Source organism: Homo sapiens, chromosome 15 (assembly GCF_000001405.40).
Source record: "Homo sapiens chromosome 15, GRCh38.p14 Primary Assembly".
Classification (NCBI taxonomy): Eukaryota; Metazoa; Chordata; class Mammalia; order Primates; family Hominidae; genus Homo; species Homo sapiens.
Genome location: NC_000015.10, coordinates 71,146,902 through 71,166,372, shown reverse-complemented (window position 1 = coordinate 71,166,372; position 19,471 = coordinate 71,146,902). Strand labels below are relative to the sequence as shown.

The window sequence follows — 19,471 nt, the reverse complement described above, 5'->3', positions numbered from 1 at the left end:
CTATAGCATGGTGCCATCTTGAAACTTGACCCATTGCTGGAGTGCATCTTGTGTTGGGGGTCAGTAGCCACCAATCCCCTCCATCTCTGAGGTTCCACCGTCATTCCAGTACATTCATAAGGGAGTCTACAGCACCAATACGCCAGCTGCCCAGAGCCTAGGCCTAAAGGAACAACCAAGACCACAACATCTGAATTCATCAGGTACCCTATTCCCTAGGGAAATAAGCAAACTTCACAGTGGGGAAACCCTGTGAAGTCACCCAGCTCATATGCTCTCATACCCATCATAACAGCCAGCCTGAAAGTGGCTCTACCCCACTGGTGAGATCCTGGCACAGCTGCCCAGCCACCTCTGGTTCAATAGCTGGCCTAGAGATGTCTCACCTCCCTCTCCCTACAGAGAGAGCACCACATAACCACTCAGGCACCCCACACACACCCTTGGCCTGACAGCCTGACTGGAGGTGGCTCAGAAAGAGCCCCATGCAGCCACACAGCACACCACACCACAACTCAACAGCCAGTGCAGCAGTGGCTCCACCTTCCTAGAAAGCCCACCAAACAGCCTGCTGGCCCACCACACCCACACATGCTTAGCCTGACAACCAACCTGGCACCCCCACCACTAGCAAACCTGCACCACTGCATCACAAATTCCTGCAGCCTAGGCCACTGAGAAAATTGCAGACACCACAGATGAAGATTACAGTTGAAAAATCTGTACAGAGACCATGTTACTGAGTCCACCCAGAACCAAAGTCAACATACCATTCCCGACCAACAACCCAGGATCCATTTACAGGAAAAAGGCTCTTGCTATGAAAGTTAATCCATAAAATTACAAAAATGACTGTTTTGGCAGTACATTGAGCTCCACAGAGACAGCGCCAGGGCAAGTGAGAGCCGGACGGGCACTGGGCGACTCTGTGCCTCGCTGAGGAAAAATAACTAAACATGGGCAAAGGAGATCCTAAGAAGCTGAGAGGCAAAATGTCATCATATGCATTTTTTGTGCAAACGTCGGGAGGAGCATAAGAAGAAGCACCCAGATGCTTCAGTCAACTTCTCAAGAGTTTTCTAAGAAGTGCTCAGAGAGGTGGAAGACCATTTCTGCTAAAGACAAAGGAAAATTTCAAGATATGGCAAAGGTGGACAAGGCCCATTATGAAAGAGAAATGAAAACCTACATCCCTCCCAAAGGGGAGACAAAAAAGAAGTTCAAGGATCCCAATGCACCCAAGAGGCCTCCTTCGGCCTTCTTCCTCTTCTGCTCTGAGTATCGCCCAAAAATCAAAGGAGAACATCCTGGCCTGTCCATTGGTGATGTTGCGAAGAAACTGGGAGAGATGTGGAATAACACTGCTGCAGATGACAAGCAGCCTTATGAAAAGAAGGCTGCGAAGCTGAAGGAAAAATACGAAAAGGATATTGCTGCATATCGAGCTAAAGGAAAGCCTGATGCAGCAAAAAAGGGAGTTGTCAAGGCTGAAAAAAGCAAGAAAAAGAAGGAAGAGGAGGAAGATGAGGAAGATGAAGAGGATGAGGAGGAGGAGGAAGATGAAGAAGATGAAGATGAAGAAGAAGATGATGATGATGAATAAGTTGGTTCTAGCGCAGTTTTTTTTTCTTGTCTATAAAGCATTTAACCCCCCTGTACACAACTCACTCCTTTTAAAGAAAAAAACTGAAATGTAAGGCTGTGTAAGATTTGTTTTTAAACTGTACAGTGTCTTTTTTTGTATAGTTAACACACTACCGAATGTGTCTTTAGATAGCCCTGTCCTGGTGGTATTTTCAATAGCCACTAACCTTGCTTGGTACAGTATGGGGGTTGTAAATTGGCATGGAAATTTAAAGCAGGTTCTTGTTGGTGCACAGCACAAATTAGTTATATATGGGGATGGTAGTTTTTTCATCTTCAGTTGTCTCTGATGCAGCTTATACGAAATAATTGTTGTTCTGTTAACTGAATACCACTCTGTAATTGCAAAAAAAAAAAAAAAAGTTGCAGCTGTTTTGTTGACATTCTGAATGCTTCTAAGTAAATACAATTTTTTTATTAGTATTGTTGTCCTTTTCATAGGTCTGAAATTTTTCTTCTTGAGGGGAAGCTAGTCTTTTGCTTTTGCCCATTTTGAATCACATGAATTATTACAGTGTTTATCCTTTCATATAGTTAGCTAATAAAAAGCTTTTGTCTACCCACCCTGCATATCATAATGAGGGTAAAGTTAAGTTGAGATAGTTTTCATCCATAACTGAACATCCAAAATCTTGATCAGTTAAGAAATTTCACATAGCCCACTTACATTTACAAACTGAAGAGTAATCAATCTACTCAAAGCATGGGATTACTAGAATCAAACATTTTGAAAGTCTGTCCTTGAAGGACTAATAGAAAAGTATGTTCTAACCTTTACATGAGGACTCTATTCTTTAACTCCCATTACCATGTAATGGCAGTTATATTTTGCAGTTCCCACATTAAAGAAGACCTGAGAATGTATCCCCAAAAGCGTGAGCTTAAAATACAAGACTGCCATATTAAATTTTTTGTTGACATTAGTCTCAGTGAAGACTATGAAAATGCTGGCTATAGATGTCTTTTCCCATTTATCTAAATATGGACTGCTCAGGAAACGAGACTTTCCATTACAAGTATTTTTAATTAATTGGGCCAGCTTTTCAAACAAAGATGCCACATTCAAAATAGGGTATATTTTCCTATATTACGGTTTGCCCCTTTATAAATCCAAGTAGATAGGAGGAAAGAAGACACTTAAACTTTGCATCTCAGTATGAATTATTCAATTTATTTGAATGATTTTTCTTTACAAAACAAACTCATCATTAGTCATGTTTATCTGCTTAGCAGTTTAGGGAACAATTTGGCAATTTTGTGGTTTTCGAGATTATCGTTTTCTTAAAGTGCCAGTATTTTAAAATAGCGTTCTTATAATTTTACACGCTTTTGTGATGGAGTGCTGTTTTGTTATATAATTTTGACTTGGATTCTTTCCATTTGCATTTGTTTATGTAATTTCAGGAGGAATACTGAACATCTGAGTCCTGGATGATACTAATAAACTAATAATTGCAGAGGTTTAAAAAAAAAAATGACTGTTTTACTAGATGCACAGACATCAACACAGGGACACAAGAAACATGAAAAAGCAAGGAAATATTATACCCCTAAAGGAGCATAATAAGTCTTCATTAACTGACCCCAAAGAAAAGGCTATTTATGAAATGCCCAAAAAGCAATTCATAATAATGATTTTAAGGAAATTCAGTAAGATATAAAAGAACACAGACAAACAAGTCAATGAAATCAGGAAAACAATTCGTGAGCCGAATTAGAAATTCAATAAAGAGACAGATATACAAAAAAGAACCAAATAAATCTTAGAGCTAATGAATTTAATGAATGAATTAAAACATACAATTAAGAGCTTCAACAACAGACCAGATCAAGCAGAAGAAAGAATTTCTGAACTTGAAGGCAAGCCTTTTGAAATAACCCAGTCAGAAGGAAAAAAAGAAATAAGAATTAAAAAGAACAAAGAAAGCACATGGGACTTATGGGACACCATTAAGGGAACAAATATTTGCATTATAGGACTTCAGAAGGAGAAGAAATGGAGAAAGGCACAGGAAATCTATTTAACGACAACAACAATATTTTCTAAGTCTTGGGAGAGATACAGACATCCACATTCAGGAAGGTCAAAGGTCTTCAGTGAGATACAACCCCCAAAAAACCTCTCTGGGGCACATTATAAACAAACTGCCAAAAGTCAAAGACAGAATTCTAAAACCTTCAAGAGAAAAACATCAAGTTACATACAAGAGTATCTCCGTTAGACTACCAGCAGATTTTTTTTTTAGCAGAAACCTTTCAGGCCAGGAGAGAATGAGATGACATATTCAAAGTGTTGAAAGAAGAAAAAGCTGTCAACCAAGTAAGAATACTATTTCCAGCAAAGCTGTTTTTCAGAAATGAAGAGGAAATAAAGACCTTCCCAGACAAGCAAAAACTGAGAGAATTCATCACTACTATACTGGCCTTACAAGAAATCCTTATAGAATTGCTATAGCTGGAAACAGCAAGACAATAATTACCATCATGAAAACATGTGAAAATACAAAACCAGTCTGGGTAAATCCATAGTCATACTCTGAATACCCTAGTGCTGTAATGGTGTTATGTAAATCTTTCAATTCTCTAGTATGAAGGTTTAAAGCCAAAAAAAGTCAAAAACATAAACAACTACAATTAGTGGCTGAGGAACATACAAAAGATGCAGATGTAAATTAAGGCAACCAAAACACAAATTGGGGGGTGAAAGAAAAATGTAAAGTACTTTAATGCAACTAAAGTTAAGTTGTTTTCAGCTTGAAATAGTCTATTATAACTAAGACTATTTATGCTATCCCCATGGTAACCACAAAGAAAGAAATTACAACAGATACACAAATAAACATGAGAAAAGAAACAAAGCTTAACACCACAGAAAACCACTAAACCACACATGTAAACAAGCAAGGAAGAAAGAAACAAAGGATCTTCAAAATAACCAGGAAACAACAAAATGACAGAAAACCTTACCTATCAATAACAACCTTGAATGTAAATGGATTAAATGCTCTAATTTAAAAAAAATAGAGTAACTGAATGGATTAAAAAAAAACAAGATCCAACTATATGGTGCCTAAAAGAAACTCACCTCGCCATTAAAGACAAACACAGACTGAAAGTGAAGAGGTAGAAAAACATATTCCATGCAAACAGAAACCAAAGGCAAGCAGGAGCAGCCATTCTTACATGAGATGAAATAGACTTTAAATCCAAAACTGTAAAAAGAAGGTCATTATATAGTGAAAGAGGGGTCACTTCAATAAGAGGATATAATCATTATAAATACGTATGCACCCAACACTGGAGCATCTAAATATATAAAGCAAATATTATTGTATCAATATTAGAGATAGACTGCAATACAATAGTAGAAGGGGGCTTCAACACCCCACTTTCAACAACAGACAGATCACCTAGACAGACAATCAACAAAGAAAAGCTGGACTTACACTGCACCATAGACCAAATGGACCTAACAAATAATTACAGAACATTCCATCCAAGAGATGCAGAATACACATTCTTCTCAATTGCACATGGAACATTCCCCAGGTTAGATCACACGTCAGGCCACAAAACAAGTCTTAACAAATTTAAAAAGATAATGTAACATGTATCTTTTCATTCCACAATGGTGTAAAACTAGAAACCAACAAGAAAAACTTTGAAAACCTTACAGATACATGAACATTAAACAAGATGCTTCTAAACAACCAGTAGGTTGATGAAGAAATTAAAAGGGAAATTTTAATTTCCTTGAGACAAGCAAGAATAGTTAATAGGTTTTTTGGTGCTTTTCTCCATTACCTCCTGTGACTCCTACCTCAAAAATCAAGAAATATTTCTAATAAATAATTTAACCATGAACCTCAAGAACAAACTAAACCCAAAATTGCTAGAAGGAAGGAAATAATAAAGCTCAGAGCAGAAATGAACAAAAGATACTAAAAAAAAAAAAATTTTAAGATCAACAAAATAAACAGTTTGTGTTTTGAAAAGGTGAACAAAATTGACAAACCTTAGGTACACTAAGAAAAAAAAGAGAAAAGACTCAAATAAATAAAATCAGGTATGAAAAAGGAGACATGACAACTGATAACACAGAAAGACACTATTATGAACAACTATACACCAATAAATTTAAAAACACAGAATAAATGGATAAATTCCTGGATGTATACAACCTACCAAGATTAAATTATGAAAAGACAGGAAACCTGAAGAGATCAATAGCATATAAGGAAGTTGAATCAGTAACAAAAAGTCTTTAATCAAAATAAAACCCAGGACCAGATAGCTTCACTGCTGTATTCTACAAACAATTTAAAGAAGACTCAATACCAATTCTCTTCAAACTATTCCAGAAAATTGAGGAAGGGGAAACACTTCAAAACTCATTTTATAAGACCAGCATTATCCTGATTCCAAAACCAGACAAGGATACAACAAAAAAAAGAAAACTATGGGCCAATATTCCTGATGAACATAGATGCAAAAATTCTCAACAAGACGCAAACTGAATTCAGTAGCATATTATAAATATTATTCACTAATATCAAGTGGGATTCATCCCAGGGATGGAAGGATGATTCAACATATGTAAATCAATACATGTGACACACCACATGAACAAAAAGAAAGACAAAAACCATATGATCATTTCAAAAGATGCAGAAAAAGCAAATGACAAAATTCAACATTCCTTCATGATAATAACTGTCAACAAATTAAGTATAGAAGGTATGTACCATAACACAATAAAGGTCGTATATGACAAAGTCACAGCTAACATTATACTGGATAATGTATACAGAATAGTATAAATTATATTAACATTATACTGAGCAAAGCTTTCACCTTTTCCTCTAAGAACAGGAACAAGGTAAGGATGCCCACTTTCACCACCCAAATCAACATAGGAATTCCTAGCCAGAGCAATTAGGCAAGAGAAAAAAATAAAGGGCATCCAAATTGGAAAGAAGGAAATCATATTGTCCCTGTATGCAATGACACAATCTTATATACAGAAAACCCTAAAGACTCTACCAAAAAACTCTTAGAACTAATAAACAAATTCTTCTCAGAGGACACAAAAAATCAAAATTCAAAAATCAGTAGCATTTCTATATGTTAATTGCAAACTATCTGAAAAAGAAATCAAGAAAATAATTACATTAACAATGGTACACACAAACAAAAATAAGATACCTAGGAATAAACTTAAGTAAGGAGGTGAAAGAGCTCTACAATGAAAACTTTAAAAACAATAGGATAATAACCCATGTTCATAGATTGGAGGAATTAATGTTGTTAAAATGGCCATACAAGCCAAAGCAATTTACAGATTTAATGCAGTTCTTATCAAAATAATAATGACATTAGTCACAGAAATTGAAAAAATAATCCTAAAATTCATATGGAACCACAAAAGACCCCAAATAGGCACAGTAATCCTGAGCAAAAAGAACAAAACTGGAAGCATCACACAACCTGACTTCAAAATATACTACACATCTATAGTAACCAAAGCAGCATGGTACTGGCATAAAGCAGACATATAGGCCAATGGAACAGAATAGAGAGCCCAGAAATAAATTCAAACATCATCTGATTTTCAACAAAGATGCCAGGAACACATATTGAGGAAAAGACAATCTCTTCAATAAATAATGCTGGGAAAACTAGATATCCAACTGAGAAGAAGAGACTAGACCCCTACCTACTAAAATCAACTGAAAATGGATTAAAGATTCAAACATAAAACCCAAAATTATGAAACTACTAAAACAAAACATAAGGTTTTATTCAGTGTCATAAAGCACACTGGGCTGGGCAAAGATTTTAGAAATAAGATCTCAAAAGCACAGGAAACAAAAGCAAAGATAAACAAATGGAATGACATCAAACTTTGCTTCTGCACAGCAATGGAAACAGTGAAGTGAGGGGGTGTAAATTTCCACAATAAACTGAAAAGACAACATACAGAATGGGAGAAAATATTTGCAACTATACATCTGACAAGGGGCTAATATCCAGAATATGTAAGGAACTTAAATAACTCAACATCAAAAAAAAAAAACCAACTCAACAATCTGATTAAATAGGCAAATGATCTGAATAGACATTTATCAAAAGAAAACATACAAATGGCCAAAAAATATATTTTGAAATGCTCAACATCACTGATCATCAGGGAAATGCAAACCAAAACCACAGTGAGATACCACCTCCCTCCAGTTAGAACAGCTATCATCAAAATGACAAAAGAAAACAAGTGTTGGCCAGGCGCGGTGGCTCCCACCTGTAATCCTAACACTTTGGAAGGCCGAGGTGGGCAGATCACCTGAGGTCGGGAGTTCAAGACCAGCCTGATCAACATGGAGAAACCCCGTCTCTACTAAAAATACAAAATTAGCCAGATATGGTGGCGCATGCCTGTAATCCCAGCTACTCAGGAGGCTGAGGCAGAAGAATCACTTGAGCCCAGGAGGTGGAGGTTGCAGTGAGCTGAGATCGCGCCACTGCACTCCAGCCCAGGAGACAGTGTGAGACTCCATCTCAAAAAAAAAAAAAAAAAAAAAAAGATAAGTGTTGGTAAGGATGTGGAAGAAAATGAACACTTACGTACTGTGGGTAGGACTGTAAATTAGTACAGCCACCATGAACAACAGTAGGAGCCTCCTTAATAAACTAAAAATAGAACCACCATAGGATCCAACAATCCCACAATTGCATATATATCCAAAGGAAATGAAATCAGAATGTTCAAGAAACATCTGTGCCCCTATGTTTACTGCAGCACTATTCACAGTAACCAAGGTATGTATTCAGCCCAACTGTCCAACAACAAATGAACAGAAAAGAAAATGTGGTGTATATATACACAATGGAAATACTATTTGTCCATTAAAAAGAATGAAATCTTGTCATTTGTGACAACATGGATGGACCTGGAGGTTATTATGTTTAAAGTGAAATAAGCCGACACAGAAAGACAAATACCACAGATCTCACTCATATGTGGAATCTGAAAAAAAAAAAAAAAAAAAAAAGAGTTGATATAGAAGCAGAAAGGAGAACAGAGGTTACCAGAGACTGAGGAGAAGAGGGGAAAGAAAAGAGGGGAGAGTGGGCAGAGGTTGGTCAATGGGTACAAAGTTACCATAGATAGGGGGAATAAGTTCTGGTGTTCTATTACCCAGTAGGTTGATGATGGTTAACAGTAAGGTATTATATATGACAAAATAGCTAGAAGAGAGGCTTTTGAATGTTCTCACCACAAAAAAAAATGATAAATGCATGAGGTGACTAGAATGCTAAATACCCTGATTTGATCATTATATAATACATATGTATTAAAATACCACCAAATTGTATGCATAAATATGTATAATTACTATGTGTCAATTTAAAAATTTTAATGATAAAATAACTCATAAATCTTTTTTTCCCCATCTCTCAGAGCAAACACTTGAAGAAAGATGAGAGTGATACCTATTTGGGGACCTTTTGTTCAGGTTACGCACATATCATTCAGCTTAACTTGAAAAATTACAGGAGACAGCAAAGTAAATTGATCACGTATAAAGTATTTTCCGTTATGATAGCCTATTTGAGCAACAACAACAAGAGGAACACAGTAAATTGACTCAACTCTTAGGATTAACAACCCTGATAATTCTAAACATTAATAAATAATATAACTTCATAATAAAAGTAGGCAGTTGTCCTTTCTGACTCCTGATATTATGAATAGAGATGATGCAGCAGAGTAAGCAGGGGAGGGGGGTGCCAATTTCCAGGTGAATCCATTGAAATGATGCTTAGACCTTGGCCAGGTTTTCCATTCAGTCAGTCATTCAACAAGGATTTTATTGAGCACCTACAACATGCCAGGCTGTATTCTAGGAGCTGGGAATAGGGCCATGAACAAGACCAGTAAGTTCCTACTTTCACGGAGTTGACATCCTAGTGGGAGATACAGTACAATAGAGGTTTATACCTGGCCCAGAAAAACAGAGCCCAAACAGAAAATAAATTAGACTATAATCAGATAAGAACGCAAAGAACTGCTCCCAAGAAGGGTCATGTTTAGCCAAATATGTGCACATACTCTTTTTTCTTGGCCCCCTTCTGTCCTGAATTTCCCCTATGAAAACCCTCTCTCAGGCCAGTGCAGCGGCTCACACCTATAATCCCAGCACTTTGGGAGGCCGAGGTGGGTGGATCACCTGATTGAGGTCAGGAGTTCGAGACTAGCCTGGCCAACATGGTGAAACACTGTCTCTACTGATCATACAAAAAAAATCAGCTGGGTGTGGTGGCGCAGGCCTGTAATCTCAGCTACTTGGGAGGATGAGGCAGAAGAATCACTTGAACCCAGGAGGCGGAGGTTGCAGTGAGCCAAGATCGTGCCATTGCACTCCAGCCTGGGTGACAAGAGCGAAACTCCATCTCAAAAAAAAAAAAAAGAAAACCCCCTCTCAGAAAAGGAGCCGACCAACTTGCTCACACTTAGATACAAATAACTGATCTCTTCTCAGGAGTCTGAATTTGATTCCAGGTAAACAGGAGGAGCTCCTAGGTAGCAGAAAGGGCTTCTAGGGACTTTCTAAGAGTCCTATCATGCATTGTCTCTAAGGAAACATTGATCAAGGATCTGCTCAGTTGCAGAGCAGCATTAGGCTTGTTCAGGCAATGGTGGATGGTTCATTTACTATAAAACACACAAAGCCTGAAGGGAAGCATATGCAATACTGTCCATTTGCTCCTTCTCCACCCAGTCCTATGGCCCGGGAGGCTGGCCTTTGGGGACTGCATCAAAGCCTTCTTGTCTTCTGGTTGGTTTGGCCAAAGGGAGTCACCAGCAGGAAATAAGGGGTGAGAGGAAAGAGAAGGCCAGGTTCTTATCTTCCAGTTCCATCCCTGCCGGCCATCAGTTGGCAGTGACTGCGTCCCTCTACTGAAGATCATGACTCCCTATCAGGGGGTTCTCTTGCATAGCAACAGCCATAGCTACAGCTGCAGCTCTATCCCTGCCCTTGACCTTGAAGGTGCCCCAAGAGAGGGTAAAAGCTCCATACTGGTCTCCTCCATTCCCAAGTGGGTTCCTTAAGCCCTGCCCATGCCTTTGTAGAGTGCTCTCACTGACCTCTCAACTGTCCATTCTAGCAAACACATGTTGCAAAGCTGGCACTGCTCTCAGATCAGAGACCAACTGCAGGTACCAGCTTCATGTTTTAAGCTCCGTGACATGGTTCAGATCTGTGTCCCCACCCAAATCTCATGTCGAATTGTAATCTCCAATATTGGAGGCGGGGCCTGGTGGAAGGTGATTGGATCATAGGGATAGTTCCTCATGGTTTAACACTATCCCCCTTGGTGCAGTCATGGCAATAAAGAGTTCTCATGAGATCTGGTTGTTTAAAAGTGTATGGCACCTCCCCGTTCTCTCTCTTGCTTCTTCTCCAGCCATGTGAAGTGCTGTTCCCCCTTTGTCTTCCGCCATAATTGTAAGTTTCCTGAGGCCTCCACAGAAGCCACGCAGATGACCAGCATCATGCTTCCTGTACAGCCTGCAGAACTGTGGGCCAATAAAACCTCTTTATAAATTCCCCAGTTTCAGATATTTCTTTATAGCAATGTGAGAACAGAATAGTACACTCCATATTCTGTAAATGGTGCTTCCTTTCAGGATCAGTGGTGACTCACCTTCAAACAGAACAAAGTTCAGGGCAGTGACCACAGTGGCCCTAGCCCCTTGGGCAGAGAAGAAAACCTCTGGATGGCCATGGCTTACCTTCCTGTGTTGAGTGGAGGGCTGTGGGCAGACGAACTGGAATCCAAGCAGCAGAAGGAAACACAGGACACTGAAAAGGGAAAATAGCAACAGGCAGGATGGTGAGTATGTTCCAGGCAGCAGCACCCAGGGAAGGCAGCATCGCCATCTCATCAGTGGATGGGGGGGGAACAGCCCAACCCAGGCCCTGGGATGTGACCCAGTGAAGACACAAAGTGTTGGCCCCAAAGGAGGGAGGCAGCATGGTGCTGTGGCAAGGCATGGCATGGGGCAGATGTGGGATCACATCCCAGCCTTCCTGCTTACCCGCAGGGGTTCTAGATCAGAGCTTTAACCTCTCTAAGTCTCAGTCTCCTCCCCTGAAAAACGGGGATGACAACGGGAACTGGCTTAGAGGTTTAGGGGAGAACTGAGTAAGAGGATGCACCGTGCCTGGCAGAGGGAGTGCTAGTGTAGCCCACATGCGGTCCTTCACGGGTGGTAAGGTCAGGGAAAAGCATGGGCTTTGAGCCTGCCAGGGAAGTTCCTCTCCTTACAGCTCATGCTTTCCTGGGAACCATTCCTCTGCCTCTTTCCAGCCTTTTGATGTCACATATGTTCTCCATGGGTGGGATTAGCTGTGCTAAGCCTCACTGTCACCAGCCCTGATTAGAGAATGTCATCAAATAAAGAGGAGGTGGGGAAATAGGAGCCGGCTGAGACAGCAGGGTGTGCTGGAGAGGGCATGGAGCCAGGCTAGAATCGCAGCTCCATCATTCCCATCTGGGTGATCCTGGGTCACATTTCCACGTTAGCATTTCCATGCCTCAAACATTCTCACCTTCTGTGAGGATCACTGAATATGACAGAGGTAAAACACCTGGCATGGTTAGTAAGTTAAGAAGGTGAGGGAAGGAGTAGAGCTGACCAGGAAACCTGGAATGCAGCTCCTCTGAGTCAGAGGAAAACCTAGATCTTTCACTCCCTCTCCTGCCCCAAGTCCCGCTGAATGTGATTGGAAATGTAACCTCGGACCAAAGGTGAGACAAGTATTGTCAATTAATTTAAATGCCCAAAGTCTCATGATTTCAAATCATCAATGTCATTATTTTAAGCATCCCTGCAATAAGGCCACTACATCTTTTGACCATTTGTCAAATCGTATTTAACCTAAGTTAAATAATATAGTGGTTCCCAACCTTTTTGAGGCTTCCAACACAACTGAGAGATGTGAAACACTGCCCCGAACCAAGAAAAACCATCACGTCAGGGTGGAGATGAGGAAAACCTGCCCGAAGCCGGGGGTTAGGTCTTGTGGAGTTAGATAAAGCTTCCACCATTTCTAAGAATCCAAAATTCCACCCCAGCTCCTGTTTTGTATGTAAGTGACCCAGGAGATCACACAGAACAGACATGGACAGACTGGCTAGAGACTGTGCAATGTGGTGAGAAGCAGGGAAGATGGTCTCTGTAATATGGTGTTGCAGGCATCCTTCTTGCTGTTGTCATGGAGTTGCAGCTGAGGATCCAGAGCTGAGAACATGGATACTAAGTATGCACACATTCCAAAGAGAGGGGCTGCCCTGTCTGTTCAGAAACTACAAAGCGGGTGCGCGCCATCCCTCACTCACCTCCCACCTGTATGCACAAGGAGGCTGGAGGATGGAGTTTGCTAGGTGTGAATTTCCCTGAAGATGGATGTAGGAGTGCTGCATACAGCCCCTCCACTCCCCTATGGGGAAGGAAAAGTAGGAACTCTCCCCCAAGCCAAGCAAGAGGGACAACATTCAGAGCTTGATCCGGATGCCCTGGTATCTGGGGGTACAAGGATTGGTGCCTGATTCTCCTCTGAAAAACATCTAAAGGCCAAACCCTAGCTGGAGTATCCAGGAGGGAAGACTGGAGAGAGGGCTAGGGTGGGAACAGTCTGTATTTTTAGAGCCTGGAGGGGCAGGAGATGTTATGTTTTAGCACCATGGAAAGACATGGAACTTAGGTTATCTGGAAAGGACTCCACCAAAGATTTTCACCAGAATGAGGTGACCCCCCTCCTAGAAAGTAAATGTACAGCTTATACCCATGGAGTACGGGAGCTGGGGGTGCGGAGGTGGATCTTAAGGAGTCAGCCAGATTTGCACAGCCTGCACCAGGGCATGGCGCAGCAGGAGAGCCCAGTGAGGGGGAAATTCTCCAAAGTGCCCTGAGAGAGGAGAATCTGGAACTTGGACATCTGCCAACCAAGGACAGCAGCACCAGATTACAAGGAACACCAGTCCCGCTGGGAACGTCTTTGCCAGTTACCTCTCCTCTCCTCTGCTTCACCCTGGAGGAATTCACAATGGCAGTGAGTGGGCCGGGCAGGGAACTAGGAGTGTGAAGGAACCAACCAAGCCGCCTCTTCCCTACTACAGGGGTCTGAGGCTACAACAGGCCCAGCTTAGAGGAGAAAAGAAGCTTTTAACTGGATGAGAGATCAAAATGTTTACATCTGACTAGACTTTCCTTTTGTTGATTTTTATTTTTTTTTTTTTGGAGACAGAGTCTCGTTCTGTCTCCCAGGCTGGAGTGCAGTGGCTTGATCTCGGCTCACTGCAATCTCTGCCTCCCGGGCTCAAGTGATTCTCTTGCCTCAGCCTCCCCAGTAGCTGGAATTACAGGCAGCACTACCATGCCTGGCTAATTTTTATATTTTTAGTGGAGATGGGGTTTCACCATGTTGGCCAGGCTGGTCTCAAACTCCTGACCTCAGGTGATCCGCCCACTTCAGCCTCCCAAAGTGCTGGGATTACAGGCATGAGCCACCATGCACAGCCTAGACTTTCCTTTTAATATACTGTATTTGTAACAACATTCTTCCAAACAAGGGGTGTATTCGGGACAATAATATGAAATTAGTGGGGAGAAGAATAAAAGAGTTGAATTATAACTTGCTGAGGATCTAGAGCAGCACTGTCCAATAGAGTTTTCTATGATGACGGAAACATTCTCTGTCGGTACTGTCCAGTGCAGATACACAGATCTGTGCTATTCAAGACACAGGAAGCTAATGGTACAGGTCTAGATGGTGATGCTACTGATGTCCTGGATAACTTCGAAAATGATTCACCTTCTCACTCCCATCACACACAACTTCCTTTGGACTTTTTAATACTTGAAAATGAGCCTGTTCATTACACACAGAATGTACTGGAAATATTGCCCAAGATGTCTTCCAGCAATAGGGCAGGAGAATTAGAGACAGCGGGTTCCCAGACAGTGGTGGCAAAAGGACAGTAATCTTCTAGCTGTATCCCTGCTGGATCCAATTTGACCTCTAAATCAAGAACATGTGCATCACAACTCACAAGTCCATGCTCCATGGTTGCATGACCTTGGGCAAATCACCGTCTCTCTGTGCCTCAGTTTCCTCATCTGTAAAATGGGAATTGTATAACCTGTCCTCCTACCTCAAATGAGTTAATGTGCTTTCTTGCACCCAGGCCTAAAAATGTGAATCATTTGTAACACATTCTGGCACTGCTTACTCATTTAAAAAGAAAACCAGATTGGTGTGGTTTTGTTAAAAAAAAAAAAAGCTGCAGCTCCATAAACATGTTACACCTCAGTGCCTCAAAGCTCTTGGCACACACAGTAGCCACATATTTGTAAGGAGCAGTTTTGGATAATCACTGATCTGAGATTGCACTTTCATAGCATTCAGGGGGACTTGGGGCAGGAAAGGGAGTGAGATCACATCTAGGTTTTCCTCTGACTCCGAGGAACTGCATTCCAGGTTGCCTGGTCAATTCTACTCGTTCCCTCACTTCTTAAGGTCTCTGCCCAGAGGATCTTGTCTTCACAGGGCTTCCTTGACCCTACAAAAAACAGTGGTCCCTCTCCCAGCCCAGCCCTTTTCTCCATAGCATTTACCGTCTCACATACTATGTCTTTATTTAAATTTCTCTCTCTATCCAATGGAATGTAAGCTCCATGAGATCAGGGAGTTTGTTTTGTCACTACTTTATTCCCCAGCACCTAGCACAGTGGCTGCTATATAGTAGGAGCTTAATTCACTGAATTAAAGAATGATGCTTCACCATCTTGGTGACCCCTGAAATTTCAAGATTAAGTGAAAATACTGTGAATTAACATATTTGAAAATGTCCAAAGCCACTTCGGGAGCTTTTAAAATTTTCTTTTATGAGGGATTTATAAAAATCAGTTCTGCTTTTGAATTTCTATGTTACCCCTCTCCAAAAAACCATCCTTAGAAGATCACAAGATATGGCAGCAAAATGTTTGCTGGTGCCTCTTGTTACAAAAGTGCAACACAAATTACATTTAGATGTTCAAATGCTTCTTCTCTTCATTTACTGGGCCCTATTGAAGCTAAAATGCATAGGGGTACCCAACAAAATTCATTCTGGAGTAAACTCTGAGATATTAAATGGTCTCTGCTCTGAATGGAATAGAATAAATTCCCCCAGAGGGGCAATTATTCTTTGGGCTACAATAACAGCAGGCACAGCAATATATAACCCCAGGGGCCAGAGGAAACTCTGCCAAGGGCTGAAAGTTTCCCACCCCTGCTCAGCACACTCTGTTTTAGGATACCTCACCCTGCTTGCGCATACTTAGCTAATTGGTATCTGTAGCTGTGCCCACCTCTTTTCAAAACACCAACAATCTAGCCCAAATCCTTGTTCCTCCTGACCCAATTCAAAATTAATGTTTGGAGAATGAGAGAGCATGCATGTGTCTCTGTGTGTGCAACTCGTGTGTTATTTCACTTTGATAGTTTGCTTTGGCAAACCGCTCCCAGCTTGCAACGTTTTGACAGATTGAAGGCTACCAGGGCCTTTGGCAAACAAATCCCACACTCCTTTCCAAGTGGCGTGGGGGAAGCTACATTCCTACCAAGACTTTCCGATTCACCTTGCAGTTGAAATAACCTAACATTTCACACCAAACAAAAAAAAAAAGTTATGCCATCTACCCAGTGCTGTTCTAGGTTTTAAACACTCCATCATTTCATTTCCCCATGTAGAAAATAATGCTCATTGAAATTTGGTACAAGATTTACATCATGGAACTGGAGCTCTGGGCTTCTGTATTTGCCTTGGCCAATCCCACTCTCCACCCCCGCTACCATCTCAGCTGCAGTGAGGGTGGATACTGTCACAGCCCCTGTGTACCTCAAATTACCTCAATGAACTCAACACCACTTGGGCATATCAAGTAACAAAACAAGGAAAACAAGAAAAAAAAACTACTTCCTTTCTTCCTCAGTTAATACAACCCAAGAGATATTTTGGGAGCAACCAGATCACTAATAAAATTATATCGACCTTAGCAAAAGAGAGCCAAAATCTTAGCATTGAAGTGAAATCCTGCCTAGTGCACTCTGGAGATAACAAATGTTTGCTGGCCAGGCACAGTGGCTCACATCTGTAATCCCAGCACTTTGGGAGGCCGAGGCAGGCGGATCACTTGAGGTCACAAGTTCGAGACCAGCCTGGTCTCGAACACAGTGAAACCCCGTCTCTACTAAAAATACAAAAATTAGCTGGGCGTGGTGGTGTGTGCCTGTAATCCCAGCTACTCGTGAGGCTGAGGCAGGAGAATCGCTTGAACCCAGGAGGTGGAGTTTGCAGTGAGCCGTGATCACGCCATTGCCCTCCAGCCTGGGCAACACAGCGAGACTCCATCTCAAAAAAACAAAAATGTTTGCTAAGCATGCATTTCACTATGCTCAGCTCAGCCCTCTGCCTTCTTCTGACAACAGTTAAGTGCCTGTAGTCCCAGCTACTCAGGAGGCTGAGGCAAGAGAATGGCATGAACCCAGGAGGCGGAGCTTGCAGTGAGCTGAGATCGCACCACTGCACTCCAGCCTGGGTGATAGAGCAAGACTCCGTCTCAAAAAAAAAAAAAAAAAGTAAAGGCAGCAAGGAAGGGGGATGGGTTACCAATGACATTAGCCAACAAAGAGCTGATGGCTACCATTGATCTCAGCACTCACAAGTAGTACTTCATAACCATCCTATCAGACACTTTTATTATACCCATTTTGCAGGTGAGGAATTTGAGGCAAAGAGAGACTAAGTCATTTACCAAACAGCCACACATACCTACTAAGTGGCAAAGCCTGATTTCTAACACAGGCGGTCAGACCCTTGGCCTGGACTCTTAACCACTGTGCTGCGGGGCCTCATTAGGACACAACACATTTTTACAAAACAAGCATTTGCCATCTGATTACATCCACTTTCTTCCTCACTCTGTATGAGGTGGGGAAGCCTGGTGGCTTCACAGCCTCCTTTATTTTCTGCCACTGCTTGCAAGAATCATCAGAAACTAGGTGGACGCAATAAAGCTGCATTCATCCAGTCCCACCAGAGGATATTCTAAATTTCAAAATAAATGAAGCTGACCATATAAATCCCAAACTTAAAAAAAAAATGCATTCTATTTATTTTCTCTGTTTTCTTACACAAATTCATCTGAGCTTAAGAAACCTTTCTTAGATGGCTCAGAGGCACCAAGGTGAATATCAATCAATTTGTGCAGCCCAAGGTGGAGGTCTTCGGCGCACAGCAGCCTTCGGCTTGAGAACTCCAGACACCTAGGGCTTTCTGAATCTGGTTGGCACTTAGTTGTCTCCTTCCTGCTATCAGGTGTTGTTTACTGTACTGTCAGTGACCCTGTGTCCTCTTAACTGGGCTCCCTCTGGATCTGCCTTGGTCTTGGAAACATTCAGATAACTAAGCTGCAGCCAAACCAAGACCAACAGGCCCCGGGAAAAGGCCTGCCTGGCTCGCGCAGAGTGAAATATTTCCATTATAGAGCATGGACTTAAGGACACATATTTTAACTGCAAATTGGTTTTTATTGCTTGTTTCCAGGTTCTCAGGTCTTGCAGCCATTTGTATTTTCTCGACCAGTACTTCTGGCAATGTGAGGTGGTTTATCACAGTACAGCTTTTTTTTTTTTTTTTTTTTTTTTTTTGAGACAGAGTCTTGCTCTATCACCCAGGCTGAGTGCAGTGGCAAGATCACAGCTCACCACAGCCTCTATCTCCCAGGCTCAAGTGATCCTCCCACATCAGCCTCCTGAATAGCTGGGACCACAGGTGTATGCAACCACACCCAGTTAACTGTTCATTTGTTTGTTTCTGTAGAGACAGGGTTTCATCATGTTGCCCAGCCTAGCCTTGAACTCCTCGGCTCAAGTGAACTGCCTGCCTCGGCCTCCCAAAGTGCTGGGACTACAGTGAGCCACCTTTCTGGCCTACACAGCACAGCTTTTAAAGACACAACACGCTTTGGTAAATTTCCCTCCTCAGTGGCAGGTTTCTTGAAGAAATGGTTTCTGATACACCTTTGCAGCAAACAAAACAATCCGCATAATCTTGACCCATCCTCAAGACTAATAAATATCAACTGAATAAAAGAATGGAAGGATAGAATAAAGTGAAGGAAGAAAAGGAGAAAGAGAGGAGGGAGGAAATATCAGTCACTAAAGAACGTGTTGCTGTCCAGGGGTTTAAGATCAGCCTGGGCAAGATGGTGAGATCACATCTCTACAAAAAAATTTTTTTTAAAGTGAGCTGGGCCTGGTGGCACACACCTGTAGTCTCAGCTACTCAGGAGGCTGAGGTGGGAGGATCGTTTGAGCCCAGGCATTTGAGGTGGCAGTGAGCTATGACTGTGCCACTGGACCCCAGCCTGGGCAACAGAGAGAGACCCTGTCTCTAAAAAATAAAAATTCAAAAACAAAAAGTGCTGCTCTGTGACAGTTTTCATCAAGAAAATGTTTTCTAAGTGCATCCCAGAATTCCCTGTTGGAAAAGCCAAAGAGCTGGGAAAAGGAAGACAATGGTAAAAAGCAGATTTCTACAAATTGGAATTACTGGTTCTAATCCCTGGCAGGAAGAGGAGGGGTCAATGTTAACCCAAGGCATAAAAATACACTTAGAGATATAAGGAATGGGTAATTGGCAGCCCAGTGATCACACCTTGACTCCATTGAGCCTTTTTGGGTACAGAATGTTCTAGCAAATCCCACAGTCAAGG

At 41.6% G+C, this 19,471-nt stretch overlaps 1 protein-coding gene and 1 pseudogene across 3 annotated transcripts in view, besides 2 other annotated features; one reads left to right on the top strand and one right to left on the bottom strand.

Annotated features, from left to right (window-relative positions):
* The window catches only part of THSD4 (thrombospondin type 1 domain containing 4), a 686,490-nt gene that overhangs the window by 617,011 nt on the left and 50,008 nt on the right, over positions 1 to 19,471 (bottom strand). For all 3 annotated transcript variants that reach the window (NM_001394532.1, NM_024817.3, XM_047433080.1), the window contains exon 3: positions 11,441 to 11,510. In NM_001394532.1, the coding sequence (NP_001381461.1) occupies positions 11,441 to 11,510 (70 nt within the window). The remainder of the gene's footprint in view (positions 1 to 11,440; positions 11,511 to 19,471) is intronic.
* Positions 861 to 2,901, top strand: HMGB1P6 (high mobility group box 1 pseudogene 6; annotated as a pseudogene).
* Positions 11,157 to 12,356: an enhancer, noted in NCBI's record as "MED14-independent group 3 enhancer chr15:71446356-71447555 (GRCh37/hg19 assembly coordinates)". NCBI's record gives its function as "activates an origin of replication core promoter dependent on BRD2, BRD4, P300/CBP and CDK7 cofactors, and independent of MED14, by STARR-seq in HCT116 cells {active_cell/tissue: HCT116}" and the evidence as "EXISTENCE:reporter gene assay evidence [ECO:0000049][PMID:35650434]".
* Positions 11,780 to 12,281: an enhancer, noted in NCBI's record as "NANOG hESC enhancer chr15:71446431-71446932 (GRCh37/hg19 assembly coordinates)". NCBI's record gives its function as "activates a minimal SCP1, AML or CMV promoter by ChIP-STARR-seq in naive H9 embryonic stem cells {active_cell/tissue: H9 hESC(naive)}" and the evidence as "EXISTENCE:reporter gene assay evidence [ECO:0000049][PMID:30033119]".